General features: G+C 40.1%; 1 protein-coding gene across 2 annotated transcripts; it reads right to left on the bottom strand.

Moving 5' to 3' along the window:
- Window positions 1-1,954: 1,954 nt before the first annotated feature.
- On the bottom strand, window positions 1,955-17,893 carry OR1D2 (olfactory receptor family 1 subfamily D member 2). Of its 2 annotated transcripts, none has more exons than NM_001386088.1 (2): window positions 17,575-17,893; window positions 1,955-6,517 (listed from the first exon to the last, which is right to left on the bottom strand). In NM_001386088.1, exon 2 carries the CDS (start codon window positions 6,465-6,467, stop codon window positions 5,529-5,531), a length of 939 nt encoding a protein of 312 aa, NP_001373017.1. In that variant the 5' UTR covers window positions 6,468-6,517; window positions 17,575-17,893; the 3' UTR covers window positions 1,955-5,528. The 2 variants fall into 2 exon arrangements, with proteins under 2 accessions (NP_001373017.1, NP_002539.2); NM_002548.3 differs by having other exon boundaries at window positions 17,570-17,893.
- Window positions 17,894-18,491: the final 598 nt, after the last annotated feature.

Raw genomic sequence — 18,491 nt, forward strand, 5'->3', positions numbered from 1 at the left:
TTATTTCTCTTTGTCTGCTGGGTTTGGGTTTGGTTTGTTCTTGTTTCTCTAGTTCCGTGAGGTGTGACCTTAGGTTGTCTATTTGTGCTCTTTTAGAATTCTTAATGTAATAATACTGTGAACTTTTCTCTTAGTACTACTTTTGCTGTATTCCAGAGATTTTGATAGGTTGTGTCCCTATTATCATTCATTTCAAAGAATTTTTAAGTTTTCCTGTTGATTTTGTTGTTGACCCAACAATCATTCAGGAGCAGGTTATTTAATTTCCATGTATTTGGATGGTTTTGTGGGTTCCTTTAGGAGTTGATTTCCAATTTTATTCCAGTGTGGTCTGAGAGAGTACTTGATATAATTTCAATTTTCTTAAATTGATTGAGACTTGTTTTGTGGCCCATGATATGGTCTATCTTTGAGAATGTTTCGTGTGCTGATAAGTAGAATGCATATTCTGCAATTGTTGGGTAGAATGTTCTATAAATATCTGTTAAGTTCATTTGTTCTAGGATATAGTTTAAGTCCATTGTTTCTTTGTTGACTTTCTGTCTTGATGATATGTCTAGTGCTAACAGTGGAGTATGGAATCCCCCACTATTATTGTGCTGTTGTCTATCTCATTTCTTAGGTCTAGTAGTAAATGTTTTATAAATTTGGCAGCTCCAGTGTTAGGTGCATATATATTTAGGATTGTGATGTTTTCCTTTTGTACTAGTCCTGTTATCATTATGTAGTGTCCGTCTTTGTCTTTTTTAACTGTTGTGGGTTTAATGTCTGTTTCGTCTAAGAATAGCTACTCCTGCTTGCTTTGGTGACCATTTGTATGGAATATCTTTTTCTACCTCTTTGCCTTAAGTTTATGTGAGTCCTTATGTGTTAGCTGAGTCTCTTGGGGATGGCAGGTACTAGGTTGGTGAATTCTTATCCATTCTACCATTCTGTATCTTTTAAGTGGAGTGTTTAGGCCATTTACATTCAACATTACTATTGAGATATGAGCTACTATTCTATTTGTCATGCTAATTGATGGCCTGAAGAGCTTGTTTTATTTTTCCATTTTGTTATTGTTTTATAGGTCCTGTGAGATTCATGCCTGAAGGAGGTTCTATTTTGGTGTATGTCAAGGGTTTGATTCAAGATTTAGAGCTCCTTTTACAAGTTCTTGTAGTGCTGGCTTGGTAGTGCCGAATTCTCTCAGCATTTGTTTGTCTGAAAAAGACTATCTCTCCTTCATTTATGAAGCTTAGTTTCATGGGATACAAAATTCTTGGCTGGTAATTGTTTTGTTTAAGGAGGCTAAAGATAGGACCCTAATCCCTTCTAGCTTGTAGGGTTTCTGCTGAGAAATCTGCCATTAACCTGATAGGTTTTTCTTTATACGTTACCTGATGCTTTTGCCTCACAGCTCTTAAGATTCTTCCCTTCATCTTGACTTTGGATAACCTGATGTCTATGTGCCTAGGTGATGATCTTTTTGTGATGAATTTCCCAGTTGTTCTTTCAGCTTCTTGCATTTGGATGTCTAAATGTCTCACAAGGCCAGGGAAGCTTTCCTCAATTATTCCCTCAAATATGTTTTCAAAACTTTCAGATTCCTCTTCTTCCTTGGGAACACCAGTCATTCTTAGGTTTGGCCATTTTACATAATCACAATCTTCTTGGAGGCTTTGTTCATTTTTTAAAATTCTGTTTTCTTTGTCTTTGATGGGTTGGGCTTTTGAAAGCCTTGTCTTTGAACTCTGAAGTTCTTTCTGCTACTTGTTTGTTTCTATTGCTGGGACTTTCCAGTGCATTTTACATCTCTCTAAATATGTCTTTCATTTCCAGAAGTTGTGATTGTTTTTTATTTATGCTATCTATTTCACTGAAGATTTTTGCTTTCATATCCTTCATATCCTGTATCTTTTTTAGCAGGAAGAGCTGCAGACCAAACTCCTCAGACACCAAGTTAAAGAAGGAAGGGGTTTATTTGGCCAGGAGCATCGGCAAGACTCCTGTCTCAAGAGCTGAGCTCCCCCAGTGAGCAATTCCTGTCCCTTTTAAGGGCTCACAACTCTAAGGGGGTCTGCGTGAGAGAGTCATGATCAATTGAGCAAGCAGGGGGTACGTGACTGGGGGCTGCATGCACCAGTAATCAGAACAAAACAGAACAGGACAGGGATTTTTACAATGCTTTTCCATACAATGTCTGTAATCTATAGATAACATAACCAGTTAGGTCAGGGGTCGATCTTTAACTACCAGGCCCAGGGCGTGGTGACAGGCTGTCTGCCTTTAGATTTCATTTCTGCCTTTTAGTTTTTACTTCTTTCTTTGGAGGCAGAAATTGGGCATAAGACAATATGAGGGGTGGTCTCCACCCTTACTTTTTTTTTTTTTAATTTAAGTTGAACTTCACCTTTCTCGGGCACCTCCTTGATTAGCTTAATACTCAACTTTCTGAATTCTTTTTCTGGCAATTCAGAGATTTCTTCTTGGTTTGGATCCATTGCTGGTGAGCTAGTGTGATCTTTCAAGGGTGTTAAAGAACCTTGTTTTGTCATATTACCAGATTTGTTTTTCTGGTTCCTTCTCATTTGGGTAGACTATGTCAGAAGGAAGATCTGGGGCTCAAGGGCTACTTATCAGATTGTTTTTGTCCATGGGATCCCCCCTTGATATGGGGCTCTACCCCATCTCCTGGGGATGGGGCTTCCTGAGAGCCAAACTGCAATGATTGTTATTTCTCTGCTGGTCTAGCCATCCAACAGAGCTTCTGGGCTCTGAGCTGGTACTGGGGGGTGTCTGTGAAGAGTCCTGTGATGTGATCTGTCTTCAGTCCCTCAGGCATGGATACCAGTGCCTGGTCCAGTGGAGGTAGCAGTGGAGTAAAGTGAACTCTCATGGTCCAAGTGTTTATCTAGGAGTCTATGGTCCTTGGTTGAAGTTTTGTTTAGTGTACTAGTTGGCCTCCAGCCAAGAGGTGGTCCTTTCAAGAGTGCACCAGCTGTGGTAGCATAGGGGGGATACAAACTTGCCCTAAGGTGGCCTGGATAAGTATTCCAGTTTCTCAGGTGGTGAGTGGGACCATAGAGCTCCCAAGAGATTATGCCCTTTGTCTTCGGCTACCAGGGTGCGTAGAGAAAGACCATTAGGTTGGGGCAGGGTTAGGCATGTGTGAGCTCCGACTCTCCTTCGGTGGGGCTTGCTGTGGCCACTGTGAGGGATGGGGGTGTGGTTAACAGGCCAATGAAGTTATGTTCCCATGGGGATTATGGCTGCCTCTGCTGTGTCATACAGGTTGCCAGGGAAGTGGTGGAAAGCCAGCAGTGATAGGCCTCACCCAGCTCCCATGCTGTCCAAGTGGCCATGTCACTCCCAATGTGCCCTACCCCTAACAGTGCTGAGTTTATTTCCGGGTAGCTGGTGAGCAGGGCTGAAAACTTGTTCCAGGCTGCAAGTCTCCCTGTTGAGAAAGCAAGCAGCACTTTCAGGTTTCTGTTTTCCTGCCTGTGGTGGCTGCTGTGAATAGCCATTTTTAGAAAAATAAGTTTTCTGCCTCCTTTTCTTTCACTTTTCCTTCTGATACTTATGTAATGTGTGTATTTGTTTGATGGGTCCCATATGTCCCATAGGCTTTCTTCACTCTTTTTCCATTTGTTTCTCTTACTAGTACTTTCAAATGACCTGTTTTTGAGTAGTGAATTCTTTCTTCTGTTTCTTCATATCTGCTGCTGAAGCTCTTTTGAGTTTTTTAAAGTTTAGTCATTGTATTATTTAGCTCCAGAATTACTGTTTCTTTTTTGTGGTTTCTGTTTGTTGAAATTTACATTTTATTTATGTATTGATTTCCTGATTTTGTTTAGTAGTTTACCTGTGTTTTTGTGTGGGTCACCATGTTTCTTCAAATGATCACTTGAATTCTTTGTCAGGCAGTTCATATTTCTCCATTTCTTTGATGGTTTCTGAAGCTTTATTTTGTTCCTTTGGCTTTGCTAAGTTTCCTTGATTCCTTGTGTTTCCTGTAGCTTCACATTTGTGTTTGCACATTTGAAGAAGCAGTCATCTCTTTTAGTCTTTACAGGCTGGTTTTGATAGGGAAAGTCCAATTTGATAGGAACTGTTTTTCACCAGTCAGCTTAGCCAGATATTCTGGGCTGGCCAGTTGGCAGGGTCTATGGGCAGGCAGGCCTAGTGCTTGGGGATGTGGGTGGATGGGCCAGCTTCTGGGCACCATGCACAGGCCCACTGTAGGGTGCAAGGCCCCAGTTGTTAAAATACACATACTGACTATTAAGAGCTCCCAACCATTTTCTTATTTTTTTTTTTTCTTGTTCTTAGCTACTCAGAGGGGTCTGGCCATGTGAATTGCCTCAGTATTCTTGGTGAGGCATGACAGAAGTGGTCCTCTTGGTTAGCATCCTGAAAGTCAGGGGAAGTTGTACATATGTTTTATTTTCTTTTTTACTTATGGAAGAACTCATGAGATGAGGGGATCTCTCTTTGTGCTACTCTGTGCTGGCTTGGGTGAGGGGTGATTCAGGTAATGTGACAGAGTTTTTTCTACAATGTTCAATATGGTGTTTTTTCTACTTCTGTGTACTACCAGGGTGCTATAAACTTTCACTTGGATTCTGGAGCTCTCACAAAGGTATTTTCATCTGTGGATGGTTGATAAATTAGTCTGTATGTTGGTGGATGAGAGATACAACTGTCGATTCCACCATCTTGTTGACATCACTCCTTTCACCCGTTTTGAAATATCTTTTACCTGATGTCATTGCAGCAATATTTCACTTAAAATATTTAGTATTTTCCAAATATGTCTGTTTCTCTTTTTAATTTCAAGCTTTATATATTCCTGTGCTTTCATCGTGTCTCTTTAAATACATCTATCTATATTTTATTTTTTAATCAGTATGTTGAACATTACTTTTTAATTGATGAGTTAGGTCCATTTATGTTTAATGTAAATTTATGTACTTCCCCGAGTAGACTGTGACCTCACATTTGTAACCCAGTTTGAGGCCTCTGTACACTGTCATTATGAATAGAATGAGTTGATGAATGACTGCATGAATGTCAAATGAATTGAACACCACCTGTCGAGGTCTATATCACGTGCTGGATCAGCTGATACAAATATGTATGATTGCAATCTCTTTCAAACCTCCACAGCCATGTGACTAACTTTCTTATCAGCTACTATTTACTTTCTGTACTTTGGATGTGTGCTAGATGAGAGACACTTCTAGGTTTAAACTGGATATAGTCAGATAAGGCCAAGAATGTGGCCCTGTAGTCAAGTACATTGAAGAATTTGACCCTGCAACATTCTAGTGTTGGTGTTAGTGTGACCTTATTTACGGCCAAGGCTGATGAGACCTGGGGGACACCAGGTTACAAATATGTCTTTTTTATCACCACATATCTATATGCTGTCTCTGAGCTGGAGCCATGTCCCAATCACTGCTGTATAACACACAGGACAATCCCTTACATAGGGTGAAGGATATTCCTAGTCTCCACTTTAATGCTGTCTTTCCAAATTGCCCTCATGTCAGCCTCTTAAAGTGTTTATCTAGGAGTCTTCCCAGAGCCCCATGCATGTCCTTGTTCCTCAGGCTGTAGATGAAGGGATTCATCATGGGTGTCACCACAGCATACATCACTGTGGCTACTGAGTCCTTCACAGAGTAGGTATGGAGGGGCTTTAGGTATACCATACAAAGTGTCCCATAGAAGAGGGAGACTGCACCCAAATGGGAGGCACAGGTGGAGAAGGCTTTGTATTTCTTAGAGACTGAGGGTATTCTGAGGATGGCTCTGATAATCAGCACATAGGAAATGATCACGAATCCAAAGGGAATGAGGAAGATGAAGCAGCCTGTGGCAATCAGCACTGTGTGATTAATCTGAATGTTGGAACATGCCATCCTCAGCAATACATACATCTCACAGAAGATGTAGTGGATTTTTCGTGACCCACAGAAGGTCACTCTGGTCATGAGGAGGGTGTGTATGAGGCCATAGAGGACGGATAGGACCCAACACAAGGAAAGGAGTAAGATACAGAGCTTAGGGCTCATGGCTGTGGTGTAGTGGAGGGGGCAGCAGATGGCCACATAGCGGTCATATGCCATCACAGCCAGGATGAGGTTGTCCAGGGCCACCAAGGAGACCAGGAAGTAGAGCTGTGTCAGACACCCTGCATAGGAGATGGCTTTGTTATGGGACTGGAGGTTCACCAGCATCTTGGGGATTGTGTTGGTGACAAAGAAGAGGTCAGTGAAGGAGAGGTTGGCCAGGAAGAAGTACACGGGGGTGTGCAGGCGGGAATCAGAGCTGATGGCCAGGATGATGAGCACATTTCCCACCACCGTGACCAGGTACATGGACAGGAACATCCAAAACAGGATCCGCTGCTGCTCAGGACTCTCTGACATCCCCAGGAGAAGGAACTCTGAACCTTCACTCTGGTTGCCTCCATCCATTTCCCCAACTCTCTTTTAACATTAACACCAGCAAATGTTTACCAAAAGTCCTTAATTGAATAAAAACATGAAGATAAGCAAAATCAACATTTTCTTAGAATTAAGAATGTCTTACACCCAATTTTATAATTTTTGAAAATAAGAAAGTGAAAAATATAACAAAGTTTTTATGCGATATAATTATTTCAGCTACTTCAAAGCTGGGAAACTCAATGTTAAAGGAATAATGTGTAATTCTTATTTTCAATCCTGTCATCTTACACTATTCTTGAAGTGTTTGGTGATTAGTGTGTTATGATATGTATATGTGTTAAAATAATTAATATAGATACATGCAGTATAAGTAGTTCAAAAAAGGAAGAAAATAAAAGTATTTGAAAGGAGTAGGAACAATTATTATTTGTTGATATGATGATCTATCTGAAAAAAGTGGGACTATCCACTGAAAGACTACTAGAAATAGAGTTTAGAATACTTGAAATCAAGTCTTTCCCTGCTAGTAAGATAGTACGCACTGCCACTTACTTGCTGTGAAACCTCAGGTAGGGTTCCAGAGTTCCTTAAGACTCAGTTTCTTCATGCGAATCATGAGTTATAGGGTGGGGGAAAATTAAGTAGTAAAGTGCTTAACACAAGGAGTTGGTAGGCAATTAGCACTCAGAAATGTTGCCTATTATTGTTATATTTAACGAGAATCAGGAAAAATGTTATAATGAAAAACTATCTCATCCCCACTGTCAACAAATAAATCATGGCACTCAGATGTTAACAAGAATCAGGCGAAACCTTCAAATTCTCCAGTGAGGGGTAAAGTAAAAATTAAATAAATTGATAAACATATCAAGGTTTCTAATATGAAGAGAAGTGTCACCAAGCTATATACTCTTTTGAATTAATTGAAAGTTTACTGGATATCAAAATTATAACAGGGTTTTGGAGAAATGAAACTGGTCTAAATTTCATCTAAATATAAGCATGTAGATAAGCTAGAAAAACATTGAATAAAAGAATAACAGGGTGATGCTTGCACATCAAATATTAAGAATTCTAAAGCAATATGATAGTAATGTTGGAATGAACAGATCAGTAGAAACTTCACAGATAGACACAAAAACGTGGAATTTGGCAGATTAATTTGGGTGCACTGTATATTAGCCGGTAAATTCTGCATGGGTACACTCTATATTAGCAAGTAAAGCCTGCATTATTCAAGAAATGGCACATTGAGATAACTGTGTAATTAATTTCGGAGGACTAGTTCGAACAATATTTTGTATCTTATCAAACACATTTAAAACATACTAAAGATTAAAATACTATAGTGTGCCTTTTTTTCCTTCGAAAGCCTAATGTGTATAGAATAAAATGTTTAAAAAATCAAAAAAGAAAAAAGAAACATGTATATGTAAAAATATAAAAAAATGTAGTATATATAAAACAGCTGAATGCGGTCAGGGAAAGAGTAAGATCTCTTCCAATACTACTGACAGTTCTCAGTGACTGTGGGAACTAAGCAAATAGGTAAATACCAATAACCAGCCCCATTAGGGGAGACTAGTACCCTGAATTGTTACAATAAATTATCTAAAATGTCCATATTCCAACAAAATTTATGAACCATGAAAAGAAACAAAGTATGATCCACATATGAGGAAAAAATCAGGCAACAGAAACTACCTGTGAGCACAATGTGATGTCAGCCTTCTTTGAAAAGACCTCAAAGTAGCCATTGAAAATATTTTCACAAAACTAAGAGAAAGCATGATTAGGGAAGTAAAGGAAGGTACAGTGAGAATGTCATGACAAATGGGGAATATCAATAAAAAGAATGGATAAAAGAGAGCCAAATGGAAATCCTGCAGTCAAAATGTACAGTAACTGAAATGAAGATTTTATTAGTCAGGCTGAATAGTAGTATTGAACTAGCAGAAAAAATAGCATTCTTTAAGATAGATTGATATCAAGCTGAAAAATAGAGGAAGAGAAAAAATGAAGAAAAATGAACAGAGACTCAGAAAAGTGTGGAGCACCATTAAGCATACCAGCACACATGGAATGCAAGTGCTGAAGGACAGGAGAGAGAAAAATCAGAAAAAAAATCCAAAGAAAGAATGGCTGAAAACGTAGTAAATTTGTTTAAAAAACTACACATATAGGAAACTCGACAAACTTTAGGCAGAATAAATACAAAGAGATTCACAAATAGACACATCATAGTAAAAAGGCTGAAAGGCAGAGACAAGGAGAAAATCTTGAAATCAGCAAGTAAAAAAGATTTTTTACTTACAAAGGAAGCCTAATAATATGAACAACAGACTTCTCAACAGAGACAAAGGAGGCTCCAAGACAGTTGGATAACATATTCAAAATGGTTGAAGAAAAAACCCATCAAGTAAGAGTCTAATATTCAGCAAAACTATCTTTAAAAGAATGAAGGCCAAATAAAGATTATCTCAGGTGAACAAAAACACAGAAAATTTTTGCTAGCAGACCTATCTTATAAAAACTACTAAAGAAATTTCTTTAGGTTGAAAGTAAGTTACCTCAGATGATAATTTGAATCCACATGCACAAAAAGGAAAGAACAGTGATAAAGTATGAAAATGTGATATTATAAATGTATGTAAATATGTAAATATATATTGATATAATCTATATATCTATGTAATATTTTACATATATCTATTAAGTATGACAGTATAAATTCATATTTTCTTGTTTTTTCTTATAACTTATTTAAACACCATTTATGTAAGATAATATGTATATGATGTATCGTTGAGGCCATAGCATATAGAAATATATGTATAACATGTTTGTCGATTACAGCATAAAGGAGCTGGGTGGAGGCAAAGTTGGACTAAGGAAATGACTACAGAAGGTATAGTAGTAATTATAACAGTGGATTATCAGGATTAATAGATGTTACATCTGTAACAATAATACTACAAAAGGAAGAAAATAATAGAATTATATAGAAATCATTTTCTATATATCATTGGACTTAAGTTGGTATAAATCTGCAGCTGATTCTGATAAGATGTATGTGGTAGACTTTAGAGCAACCACTAAAAATTACCTTCAAAAATAGAGTGAAAAAATTATTAAAGAAATTAAAATGCAACATGAGAAAATATTAACTTAATGGAAAAGGAAGTGGACAAGGAAAATAGAGGAAAAAAGGACATGGGACACATAGAAAACACAAAGTAAAATGGGAGACATAAATCTAACTATATCAATCATAACATTAAGTGTGAATGCATAGAACAATTCAATCAAAAGGCAGAGACTGTCAGAGTGGATAAAAACATGATTCATTTATATGCATTCTACAGAAAACCTACTTGATTCACAGATACAGCAAGGTTGAAAGTAAGAGGATGGGAAAAGATACCATGCAATCAGGAACCACAAGAAAAACGGAATGGCTGTACTTTAGCCTTAAAATATAAAATGGCTTTAAAGATTAAAATAGAGTTTATGCTGACCTGGTGGCCCATGCCTGTTAATCTCATCACTTTGGGAGGCTGAGGTAGGAGAATGGCTTGAGGCCAAGAGTTCAAGACCAGCCTGAGCAACATAGCAAGACCCCATCTCTTAAAGAGAGTTTAAGTCAAAAAGTCTGACTAGAGATAAAGTGAGACATTTTATAATGACAAGTGGGTCAATCTATGAAGAAGATATAACAATTGTAAACATATATGCACCCAAATACGTGAAGGGAACTGATAGAAATGAAGACAGAAATGTGTAATTCAACAACAGTATTTGGAAAATTCAACACACCACTTTCAATAATGGATAGAACAACTAGAAAGATCAACAAGGAAAAAAAGATTTGATCCACACTGTAAATTAACTGCGCCTAACAGATGTCTATGTAACGCTCTGCCCAACAACAAAAGAAGAAAGTTATTTTCAAGTGTCATGGGAACATTCTCTATGATAGACCATATTCTAGGCCATAAAATAAACCCAAATGACATTAAAAGGCTAGAAAAAATACAAAGTATGTTTTCCCACTGCAGTAGAATAAAATTAGCAATGAATAGCAGAAAAAATTGAAAAACATGTTTCATTTCCATATGTTACTTCATTTCCATATTGTGGAGGATAATATACTTCCAAGAAGGTTCTTCCAGGAATTTATCCATGTCTGTTAAATGTTCTAGTTTGTGTGCGTAGAGGTGTTCACAGTAGTCTCGAATGATCTTTTCTATTTCTGTGGTGTCCATTTTACAATGGACTTTAAAAAAACTTGAAAGCATTCCTACTGAGAAATGGAACAAGACAAAGATGCCCACTTTCATTACTTCTATTCAACATAGTACTAGAAGTCCTAGCCAGAGCAATAAGACAAGAGAAAGAAATAAAGGGCATCCAAATTGGAAAAGAGTCAAATTAGTGCTGTTTGCCAATGGTATGATCGTATGCTGAGAAAGCTCTAAATACGAGTCCCCACCCCCAAGCCAAGGGAGGTGGTGAGTGAGCATGCTACCCAGCCAGGGAAATCATGCTTTTTCCATGGAACTCTGCAACCCACAAATCAGAAGATTCCACTGGTGAACCCATGCCACTGGTGCCTAGGGTACCAACCCCAGAGCTGTGCAGATTCTCAACAGCCTCTCAGCTAGAATCTGCTTAAGCCTGCCAAGTTCCTTGAGGGAGAGAAAACTAGCACCATAGCTGCAGCTGCCTGCTGTCTAAGCTGTTTGAGCTCCTTGCAGGAGGGGCAGCACCCAACATTGGGACTGATAACTGCCTAGCACACTAAGCTCCCTGGGTGGGGGAAGGGCGGCAGCCATCTCTATAGCTCCAGCCCACACTTTTCCCCTGCCGGAGCCTGGGAGACTGGTTGACTTGGTCCCAAAATGTGTCCACCACAGCCCAACACACCCCTATGGTCGACTGTGGCCAAAGCACCTCTTCAGGCCTGACCCTGACCCACTCTTCCTCACTGGGTGGGGCCTCAATGCAGGAAGTACAACTTCAGCCAGGGGCTCAGGGACAGTACCCTGATCTCCCTGGGCCTGAGCCCCTAGCAGGAGAGGTGGCCGCAATCTCTGTGGATCAGCAGACTTAGCCTTTCCTCCTGGTAGTTCTGAGGAATCCAGGTAGCCCAGATGAGTGGGTTTCCCCTAGTGAAGCGCACACCCCCTTCACCAAGGGACAAAGTGCTTCGTTAAACGGATCTTTTTCCCTGTGCCACCCAACTGGGTGAGACCCTCCAACAGGGGATGTCAGACACCCTATACAGGAGTGAACCTACTCGTATCACGTTGGTGCCCCTTGAGGTCAGAGATCCCACAAGGAGGAGCAGGCACCCATGATTCCTGTTCTCCACCTCCTTGAGTGATACCTCCAGGCACAGCAGCGAACCAGATGAATAGGGCCTGTAATGAGCCCCCAGGCCTACTAAAGAAGAGGGACCTGAGCATTGAAAGAAAAACAAACAGAAAGCAACAACAGCAGCATCAACAACAGCAAAAAAGTCCTCACAAAAACCCCATCCAAGGGGCGGCAGCCTCAAAGATCCAAACTAGACAAACTCATGAAGATGAGAAACAACAACAACAACAACAACAAATGCTGAAAACACAAAAGGCCAGCGTGCTGCTGCTTCTCCAGATAGTTGCAATACCTCGCCAGCCAGGAAGCAGAACTGGATGGAGGATGAGATGGCTGAATTGACAGAAATAGGCTTCAGAAGATGGGTAATAACAAACTCCTCCGAGCTAAAGGAGCATGTTCTAACCCAATGCAAAGAAGCTAAGAACCTTGATAAAAGGTTACAGGAGCTGCTGACTAGAATAATCAGTTTAGAGACGAACATAAATGACCTGATGGAGCTGAAAAACATAGCATGAGAACTTCATGAAGCATGCACAAGTATCACCAGCTGAACCGACCAAGTGGAAGAAAGGATATCAGAGTTTAAAGACCACCTTGCTGAAATAAGGGATGCAGACAAGATTAGAGAAAAAAGAATGAAAAGAAATGAAGAAAGCCTCCAAGAAATATGGACTACGTAAAAAGACTGAACCTACGACTGATTGGAGTACCTGAAGGAGACAGGGAGAATGGAAACAAGCTGGAAAACACACTTCAGGATATTATCCAGGAGAACTTCCCCAACTAGCAAGACAGGCCAACATGCAAATTCAGAAAATACAGAGAACACCACTAAAATACTCCATGAGAAGATCAACCCCAAGACACATAATCATCAGGTTCTCCAAGGTCAAAGTGAAGGAAAAAATGTTAAGGGCAGCCAGAGAGAAAGGTCAGGTCACCTACAAAGGTGACCATCAGACTAACAGTGGATCTCTCTGCAGAAACCCTACAAGATAGAAGAGAGTGGGGGCCAATATTCAACATTCTGAAAGAAAAAAATTTTCAACCCAGAATTTCATATCCTGCCAAACTAAGCTTCATAAGTGAAGGAGAAATAAAATTGTTTCCAGACAAGCAAATGCTCAGGGATTTCATCACCACCAGGCCTGCTTTACAAGAGTTCCTGAAGGAAGCACTAAATATGGAAAGGAAAAACTGGTACCAGCGACTGCAAACACACACCAAAATATAAAGACCAATGACACTATGAAGAAACTGCATCAACCAGTGTGCAAAATAACCAGCTAGCATCATGACAGGATCACATTCACACATAACAATATTAACTTTAAATGTAAATGGGCTAAATGCCCCAATTAAAAGACACAGGTGGCCAATTTGGATAAAGAGTCAAGACCCATCAGAGTGCTGTATTCAGGAGACCCATCTCACGTACAAAGACACACATAGGCTCAAAATAAAGGGATAGAGGAAAATTTACCAAGCAGATGGAAAGCAAAAAAATAAAAAATAAAGCAGGCGTTGCAATCCTAGTCTCTGACAAAACAGACCTTAAACCAACAAAGATAAAAAAAGGCAAGGGCATTACATAATGGTATAGAGATCAATGCAACAAGAAAAGCTAACTATCCTAAATATATATGCACCCAATACAGGAGCACCCAGATTCGTAAAAGAAGTTCCTAGAGACCTACAAAGACTCATAGACTTTATGTGTCTATGCGTCTTTAAAGTGGGAGACTTTAACACCCCACTGTGAATATTAGATCAATGAGACTGAAAAATAACAAAGATATTCAGGACTTGAACTCAGCTTTGGATCAGGTGGAGCTAATAGACATCTACAGAACTCTCCACCCCCAATCAACAAAATTTGTCTCAGTACCACATGGCACTTATTCTAAACTTGACCACATAATTGGAAGTAAAACGCTCCTCAGCAAATGAAAAAGAACTGAAATAATAACAGTCTCTCAGACCACAGTGCCATCAAATTAGAACTCAGGATTGAGAAACTCATTCAAAACCACACAATTACATGGAAATTGAACAACCTACTCCTGAATAACTTCTCAGTAAATAATGAAATTAAGGCAGATATCAAGAAGTAGTTTGAAACCAATGAGAACAAAGAGACAATGTACCAGAATCTCTGGGACACAGCTAAAGCAGTGTTAAGAGGGAAATTTATAGCACTAAATGCCCACATCAGAAAGCTAGAAAGATCTCAAATCAACACCCTAACATCACTATTAAAAGAGCTAGAGAATCAAGAGCAAGTGAATCCAAAAGCTAGCAGAAGACAATAAGTAAGATCAGAGCAGAACTGAAGGAGATAGAGACACAAAAAAACCCTTCAAAAAATCAATAAATACAAAAGCTGGTTTTTTGAAAAAATTAACAAAATGGATAGACTGCTAGCTAGACTAACGAAGAAGAAAAGAGAGAAGAACCAAATAGACACAATAAAAAGTGATAAAGGGGATATCACCACTTATCCACAGAAACACAAACTACTATCAGAGAATACTATAAATACCCCTACGCAAATAAACTAGAAAATCTAGAAGAAATGAATAAACTCCTGGACATATACACCCTCCCACGGCTAAACCAGGAAGAAGTCAAATCCCTGAATAGACCAATAACAAGTTCTGAAATTGAGGCAGTAATTAATAGCCTACCAACCAAAAAAAGCCCAGGTTCACATGGATTCACAGCCAAATTCTACCAGAAGTACAAAGAGGAGCTGGTACCACTCCTTCTGAAACTATTCCAAACAATTGAAAAGGAGAGACTCCTCCTTAACTCATTTTATGAAGCCAGCATCATCCTGATGCCAAAACCTCACAGAGACATAACAAAAAAAGAAGTCTTCAGGCCAATATCCCTGAAGAACATCAATGCAAAAATCCTCAATAAAATACTGTCAAACCGAATCCAATAGCACATCAAAAAGCTTATCCACCACGATTAAGTTGGCTTCATCCCTGGGATGCAAGTCTGGTTCAACATACATAAATCAATAAACATAATCCATTACATAAAGAAAACCAAAGACAACAACCATACGATTATCTCAATAGAGGCAGAAAAGCATTTTGATAAAATTCAACATCCCTTCATGTTAAAAACTCTCAATAAACTAGGTATTGATGGAACGTATCTCAAAATAAGAGCTATTTATGACAAACCCACAGCCAATATCATATTGAATGAGCAAAAGCTGCAAGCATTCCCTTTGAAAACCGGTACAAGGCAAGGATGCCCTGTCTCACCACTCCTGCTCAACATAGTATTGGAATTTCTGGCCAGGGCAATCAGGCAAGAGAAAGAAATTAAGGGGATTCAAATAGGAAGAGAGGAAGTCGAATTGTCTGTTTGCTGATGACATGATTCTATATTTAGAAAACCCCATCATTTCCACCCCAAAACTTCTTAAGCGATAAGCAACTTCAGCAAAATCTCAGGTTACAAAATCAATGTGCAAAAATTATAAGCATTCCTTTACACCAACAATAGACAAGCAGAGAGCCAAATCATGAATGAACCTCCATTCACAATTGCTACAAAGAGAATGCTCCCAACACAATGAAATGATAAATGTCTGAGGTGATGACTGTCCTAAATATCCTGATTTGATGATTACACTTATATTCATGTATCAAAATATCACATGTACCCCCAAAATATGTACAGTTATTACTGTACATATTAATTATTACTGTACATATTATTGCAATGTTTTGGAAAACCAGCCAGTGTGCCAGGGAAGTATGGAGCCTGTTCTGCAAATTCAATCTGAAACATGGTTAATTTGAAGTCACAGCAGAATAAGCAAATGGAGATGAGGGAACTGTGAGTAATTTCGACTATTAAAGTAATTTGGAGTGCCAGATTTGGGGTGGGGTGAGGGTATATGGCAGTCCTAGCATTCATCAAATGAGTGAATTCCTTACCTCAATGTAGCAAGTTAAACTCCTAGATGTCCACGGTAGGTGGCATAGTGGAAGGAGATTTTGAGTCTGAAGTTTGGGTTCAAACCCCAGCGTAACAAATTCAAGCATTTTTTGAACAAACTGCGATTTCATTAGACACACACATACATACATACCTACGGTGCTATGTATATACATCTTTTATTTACAACGACGTATATCGTTGTAACAACGAGCTATTTGTTTCTGTTATCCTGCTTTATAGATGAGGTGACTGAGATTTAGGTTAATGAGTTTCTCACATTCACTCAATCAGAACTGACACATTGGGATTTGAGCCCCCGTTCTGCCTCCAGATTTCACAATCTAACTATTCTACCATGGGATGGAGGACAGCAATAATGCCCACCTCCCCCGGGGTCAGGAGAAAGAGCTGAAATGCTGTATGTGGAAGCAGCTCTCCAAACTTAAAGCCTAATTGTCCTTGGAAGGGGCCTGTGATGGGGGTGGCAAAGGGACTCCTATTCTTCATTCCTCCAACTTGTATTTCCCACCCCTTTCTAGTAGGGAACCCACTCTCTCAGTACAAAGAGCAACAGGGTTCCCAGTCTTGCCTCTATCCTGGTTCTGCTGCCCTCTCAGACAGGAGCAGCTGGACCCCACTCTGTCTGTCCGGAATGGTCCAGGATGTCAGGGTGGGACTCCTGGTGTCAGGCCTCATGGTGCAACTGCAGGGGAGACAGAAGATGAGGGCACACGGTATTACAGGCTTCCCACATCACAAATGACTTCTTTCTGCAGTCTTGTTCTTACCATTCAGAGCTCTATGGGACATCTGCTGATGGGAGGGAGGGTAGAGGGCAGGTGACAAGACTGAGGAAGGCCAGAGAACTCCCAGGGAAATTGAGAAATTGATCCCTCTGCTTGCTTGCTTCCTTTTTTCTTCTTTCTTTTCCTTTCTTTTTTTTTGAAATGGAGTCTCACTCTGCCCAGGTTGGAGTGCAGTGGCACGATCTCGGCTCACGGCAATCTCCACCTCCCGGGTTCAAGCCATTCTCCTGCCTCAGCCTCCTGAGTATCTGGGATTACAGGCGTGAGCCATTGCATCTGGCCAGATACCTCTGCTTTGTAACCCACAAGGCAAGCATCTCCTGCACTCATGTGCATCACGATCACCTGTGATGCTTCATAACAAAAAGCTGACTTTCTGACTTTCTGACTCTCTCTCTTGAAGTCCTGAAGTCTCTCTTGAAGTCCTGTTTCTGAGAACCAAGTTCTTTTTAGCAAGCATGCAGTAGTTCTGATGCTATACTTTGGGAAACACTGCTCTGAGTTTGTAAGAGTCAGTGGGTTCTGAACACTGATGTGGTCAGATGGTCACAGAGACACAGACCCCTCTGTTGTGTTGCTGGGGTGTGAGGGGGGAGATTGTAGGGGCAATATGGAAAAGGGGTCCAAGCTTGCAGTGGAAACACTGGGCTTTGTACCTCTTCTGTTACTTCCTAGCTGTATGACCTTGAGTAGGGCCCACGACCTGCCTAAATCCCCTCTTCTCACCTAGGTAGTCATTCTCACAGGCTGTGAGAATTACATGCAACAGAGAATGTGAAAGTACCTTGAAAACTGTAGAGTGCTTCTAAGATTCAAGGGATTGTTCTATTACCTTTGAAGACTAAGAGGTGAGATTACATGAGTTCCCAAAGTGTGTGAGTATGTTTGTGTGACAGAGAAAATGGAGAAGAGAGAAGATAAGAGAGAAGATAAGAGAGAAGAGGGAGAAAGAGCATGAGGCTGAGATGTACAGACCTTACCCACTGCTCTGTGCTGCTCTCAGAGTTCACTGGTTCAGCTTCCTCCACGTTCCTGTTCTACAGGATGAAAACACATTCAGGTCATAAAAGACCAGAATGCATTATTTTCTGAATAGGTCTTGGAGACTCATCCTATTGGCTAAAGGTACAGAGCAGAGAACTTGTTGCCTGGGTCTTCAGCTTCTGTAAAAAAGGAGACAGGATTTCAGGCTATTGATGCCCCAATGAGATTTGTGGGATATGAGAACTGAGTCTTGGATCCTAGATTCATGAAGAAACGGGATGAACAGGGAGCACATCAGGTCTGCTTATCCATTTTGGAGAGAACTTGGGGATGCAATCCCCAGATAGCCTCTTGAGATGAACATGGATAATTGCTCCGATGTTATTCTCTAGAGGTGAGGGTCTTGGGAAATGAGTCTTGTTTACAAGAAATAAACCAGCTCCTTATTGTGCAGTAATCCTAAAATATACCCTAGGAAGGCTGGGTGTGGTGGCTCACACCTGAAATCCCAGCATTTGGGAGGCCGAGGCAGGCAGATCACCTGAGGTCAGGAGTTCATGACCATCTTGGCCAACATGGTGAAACCCCCATCTCTACTAAAAATACAAAAATTAGTTGGGCGTGCTGGCACTTACCTGTTGTCCCAGATGCTTGGGAGACTGAGGCAGGAGGATCGCTTCAACCTGGGAGGTGGAGGTTGCAGTGAGCCGAGATGGCACCACTGCACTCCAGCCTGGGCAACAGAGTGAGACTCCATCTGAAAAAAAAAAAAATAAAAGATAAAATACATATAACAGTAAGCCAAAGTAACAGTAAGCCAAAAATAAAGCGGACTCTACATGTATTGCCTGTTGACTTTGAGTAGGGAGAGGTCTGGCAAATTTAAGGTACTAAACTTCAACTAGAATGATTC

The sequence above is a fragment of the Homo sapiens genome, chromosome 17, assembly GCF_000001405.40.
Source record: "Homo sapiens chromosome 17, GRCh38.p14 Primary Assembly".
Classification (NCBI taxonomy): Eukaryota; Metazoa; Chordata; class Mammalia; order Primates; family Hominidae; genus Homo; species Homo sapiens.

Excerpts from the sequence above, each read along its gene's own strand:
- OR1D2 (NM_001386088.1), bottom strand. The coding sequence starts at position 6,467 with ATGGATGGAGGCAACCAGAGTGAAGGTTCAGAGTTCCTTCTCCTGGGG.